Here is a 4,797-nt window from a genome sequence, read left to right on the forward strand (position 1 = left end):
TTTCTGTTTTTGTGTATGAGGAAATTGAGCCCTGAAGATTAAGTAACTGGTCTAAGGCCACCCAGTAAGTGATGAACACAGCATTCAAAACAAGCCTAACTGAATCAAGAGTCTAGGTGATAACAAACAATCCATGTCTATCCCATTATTGTATATTCATACATTGTTTTGACCCCTACAACTTTTTAAAAATTAGATGTTAAAATGAGACTCTGAAAATGTGTGGTCATTTAGCTAATATTCAAACCCAGTCTTGATTATGATAAAGATAATCATAAAGGAATATGAAACAAAATCTATTTGCCTTTAATGTACCTTATGGAATTCTCTAATCTTCTAGCATTAACAAAATATTAGGGCTTACAATTAAAATACTGAAAGTTCTTTGGGCTGTTTATTATATTGAAACATTTGCTATTTCCCATTGAATCGTATCATATTTATAATCTGAGAGCTCCCAGATACTATTTACTGATGAGTTCACTAAAGGTAGAATTTCCAAAATGAGAGAATTAATCAGCAATTGCATGTTTGTTTTAATTGATATAAAATGTAAATGGAATTTACCATTTTAACCATTTCTAAGTGTACGGTTTAGTGACATTAAGTACACACCTTGTTGTACAACATTGTTGCAAAACAGGATGATATATTATCTTGAAAGGAAGAAAAAATAATAAGAAATGCCATAGCAAATTAAAATATGTTTCATGGAAACATGGATTTAATAAAAAATAAATAAATAAAAATTTATAAATTATAATATGTTTTCCAAGTTGCTTTCCCATTAATTACATTAAGAATTTTCATCTGAGAGTCTGTGATGTCTGTACTAGCTTGATTCAAGTTGCATGGTGTCAATGAAAAAAGTCAAACTCTGTAAATATTTAAAGAGATTTATTCTGAGCCAAATGTGAGGAGCATGACCACAAGATAGCCCCAGGAGGTTCTGAGACCATGTGCCCAAGGTGTTTGGTTTATAGCTTAATTTTATACATCAGGGGGATAGAAACTACAGGCAGACATTAATCCATACATGTAAGGTGTATATTGGTTCAGTCCCGAATGGTGGAACAACTCAAAGTAGGGGGCTTCCAGGTCACAGGAGGATTCAAAGATTTTCTGACTGGCAAATGGTTGAAAGAGTTAAGTTATTATCAAAAGAGCTGGAATCAACAGAAAGGAGGATCTGGGTTAAGATAAGAGGTTGTAAAGAGCAAGGTTTTTGTTATGCAGATGAAGCCCAAATAGCTGGCTTTAGAGCTCTTACTAGAGCTGAAAAGGTGCCAGACTCTTAGTTAATTCTCTCCTGAATCAAGGAAAAGACCTGGAAAGGGAAGGGGATTCTCTGCAGAATGTTGATTTTCCCCACAAGAGTTAGTTTTGCAGGGCCGTTTCAAAATATATCAAAGAAATATATTTTGGGGTAAAATAGTTTGGTTTCTTTCAGGGCCTGTTTGTTATCTTTCATCTGATGCTATAATAGAGTCAGATTGGAATTTGGTATCTCATTGCTACAAAGAGTCTGTTTTGTCAGTCTTAAGATCTCTGTTTAACGTTAATGCTGGTCAATTGTTCCTGAATTCTAAACGAAGGCGGGTACAATGAGGCATGTTGGACCTCCCTTTCCCGGCATAGCATAAATTAGTTTTTCATGTTAACTTTGGAATGCCCTTGGCCAAGACGAAGGTTCATTTAGTTGGCTGGGCAATTTAGAATTTTATTTTTGGTTTATAATGGGTTTGCACTGCCCCTCATCTATTGAACAACAGAATCGCTAGAAACTATTGTTAAAAGTCTCAGTATCAGTGCAAATGAGGAGACTCAGAGAGAAGGAAAGCTGAGAGATGAAAGGAGCACCCTCCATTAGGAAGGAGAGCAAAGTTGGGCTGAAGACAGATTCTCATCAGGAAAAGATAACCCTACTCCTTAGGGACTGTAGTACAGAATCTCCATACTCTAGTAAACTCTGACATTTGTTTTCCTTTCTTTTGCTGGACTTGGGCTTGTTCAGAGCACCATGCTGTGGCAGACAGATTGACACTCCCCTCATTCTGGTGATAATTAACCTTGGCTCCCTCTATTAACAGCAACAAACACGGTTCAAAGACTGATCCAGAGCAATGAATCAGCAATTATTTACTTACTTCTTCCCAGCACAGTAGAAATGTTTTGCTGTTACTAGAGAACTCAAAATTCAAACTGTATAATACAAAATTGTTACATTTAGGCCATAACGTTTTGGTTCTGTTAAATAATACAGAAGTGAGACTTTAAACAAGAAACTATAAAACTTCTGGACACTTTCAGTGATGGCTAATACATGCAAGTTGCCACTTAGGCCTCTCAACCAGGGCATACATCATGATGGATCTTCTCACTCTGTCTCTTAAACCTGAACTAGGCTTTTACTCCCTAATAGTTATTTTTTTGTATGAAAAATTTGCCATTGCTGCTCTCGACCATGCAAATGTAACCCAAATACACACCAGGCATGATATAGTTAAAAGCAAAATTATATGTTCTAAAATATTTAGACAGTGGTCAAGTTATCACATAGTATAAAAAATAATATAGAATAAGTCACTCTTTCATCAAACCAGCAGGCTTTTTCTTACCATATCTAAGGAAGTTCAAAGACATTTACTAATGCTTACTCACTGAATCAAGTGAAAAGGAAAAGCTAACCCAAGAACTTGCCACAAAGATTTTGCAAAACATGAGTATCCCATTTATTCAGGGACATTAAATGATTAAAACTAATATCCTGAGTTAAAATTACCAGGGGACATATTTAATGGAGGAAAACAAAGGCTTCAAGAGAAATCAATTGTAAAATAATCAATACTAAAATATGTACTCTGAGCAAGTCTTCATGCAAAGAGTAAGACTTGGTAATAAGGGCCCAAAGCAAATACGGACATATCAGCAGACATTAACCTGCTAGGAGACCAAGAAAGAGACCTCAAGTAAACGAGCATTGAAATAATTTTTTAAGCTAAACTACTTGAGAAAAATAAAGCCTAGTGAAGACAAAAACCAGCACTGATTTCAGAACAATTTTATAACTTTTATACTTCATTGTATATGAAGACTGCAGAATGTGCATAGCTATTCAGAGATTAATTTCAGTAATTTTATAATGTTTTGCTTCATAATATCACACATTTCAGAAGTCTTCTAAGATTTCATATATTGATTCCAGGACGGGATGGGCTGTATCTGATAATCAAAATCAACGTTATGGATCCATTACTTTTATATTGTACTGTGCAAATATAATTTTTAAAGTCTCATGAAAAATTTTAGCATTTTTTATTGCTATATATTATCTGGGTATCAGTAAGGTGTACATTGGTGTAGTAGTTAGCAGAAGCCAAAAATGGCTCAAAGGGATGAATAATCTACTGGAATGAGAAATTTGAAAGAGTGTACAAACCAAGATAATTCTATAAACACTGAAAAAGGAAGTCTGTGGGTTTCTTCCTAGTCACTGTTAATTCAGGTGACCTGGGTTGACAGTTAAGTGCACAAACCTGAGTCAGATGAACTGGGTTTGAATACAGCTAAGCAATCTTACAAAAGTACTTAAAATTTCTCATCTGGAGTTTTTCATTTTTAGAGGATAAAAATAATAAATCTACCTCGTTTGATTGTTTTGAGGGTTAAATGAAGTGAAGTGTTAAAAGCACTTGGCATAGGGCTGGGTGCGGTGGCTCACGCCTATAATCCCAGCACCTTGTGAGGCTGAAGCAGGGGGACGATTTGAGGTCAGGAGTTTGAGACCAGCCTGTCCAACATGGTGAAATCCCATCTCTACTAAAAATACAATAATTAGCCGAGCATGGTTGCTCATGCCTGTAATCCCAGCTACTCGGGAGACTGAGGCAGGAGGATTACTTGAACCCAGGAGGTGGAGGTTGCAGTGAGCTGAGATCCCACCACTGCACTCCGGCCTGGGCAACAGAGTGAGAATGCATCTCGAAAAACAAACAAATGAACAACAACCAAAAAAAAAGCACTTGGCATATAGTGAAGTGTTCAGAAATGCTAGCTACTATTACCTACTAACACTACCTGTGAGACCACTCCTCTTTCCCTTTTAATCCAGTCAAGCTCAGTTCTTATCAGCTTGGCTTTAGCAGTTCTAACTCTGGTTTTAACACCTTTGTATATAAATGAGCACACAAATATGATAGAGAGAGAGTTGGAAGCAGGGAGCCTCAGATTTAAAGAAGAATTACAAAACTGTAATGCAATTATTGAAACTAAAAAATTAGCTTTGTTACAATACTATTAACCAAAGTGCGAAATGTATTCAGGTTTCACCATTTTTTTCTGCTAAAATCCTTTGTATTTTCTAGGATTCAATCCGGAATTCTGCACTGCACTTAGTCCTCATGTCTCCTTAATCTCCAATCTCGATAGTCCCTTAGTCCTTTCTTATCTTCCATATGTTACCATTCATTATTTTGTAGAATGTTCCTCAATTTGGGTTTGTATATCTGATTTGCTTTTTCATTTCTTATGAATATTTGCATTATTGGAAAGGATAGCACAGAAGTGATGTTCTCTTCTCAGCGCATTGTATCAAGAGGCCTATAATATTGATATGTGTTATTGGGGATGTGCACCTTGATTATTTTGCTAAGTTGGTTTCTGCCAGGATTTTCCCCTGGGGACTTACTCTTTCCCCTTGGCATTACTAAATATTTCAGGGAAGAAAATATGAGACAATGCACATGTCTTGTTTCTGTATTAAGTTTCACTCATTCTTTTAGCATTTCTGCGTGGATC

At 36.0% G+C, this 4,797-nt stretch overlaps 2 annotated features.

The window, feature by feature from the left end:
• Positions 752-1,629: an enhancer, noted in NCBI's record as "OCT4-NANOG-H3K27ac hESC enhancer chr10:59387253-59388130 (GRCh37/hg19 assembly coordinates)". NCBI's record gives its function as "activates a minimal SCP1, AML or CMV promoter by ChIP-STARR-seq in primed H9 embryonic stem cells {active_cell/tissue: H9 hESC(primed)}" and the evidence as "EXISTENCE:reporter gene assay evidence [ECO:0000049][PMID:30033119]".
• Positions 1,630-2,505: an enhancer, noted in NCBI's record as "NANOG-H3K27ac hESC enhancer chr10:59388131-59389006 (GRCh37/hg19 assembly coordinates)". NCBI's record gives its function as "activates a minimal SCP1, AML or CMV promoter by ChIP-STARR-seq in primed H9 embryonic stem cells {active_cell/tissue: H9 hESC(primed)}" and the evidence as "EXISTENCE:reporter gene assay evidence [ECO:0000049][PMID:30033119]".

The sequence above is a fragment of the Homo sapiens genome, chromosome 10, assembly GCF_000001405.40.
Source record: "Homo sapiens chromosome 10, GRCh38.p14 Primary Assembly".
Classification (NCBI taxonomy): domain Eukaryota; kingdom Metazoa; phylum Chordata; class Mammalia; order Primates; family Hominidae; genus Homo; species Homo sapiens.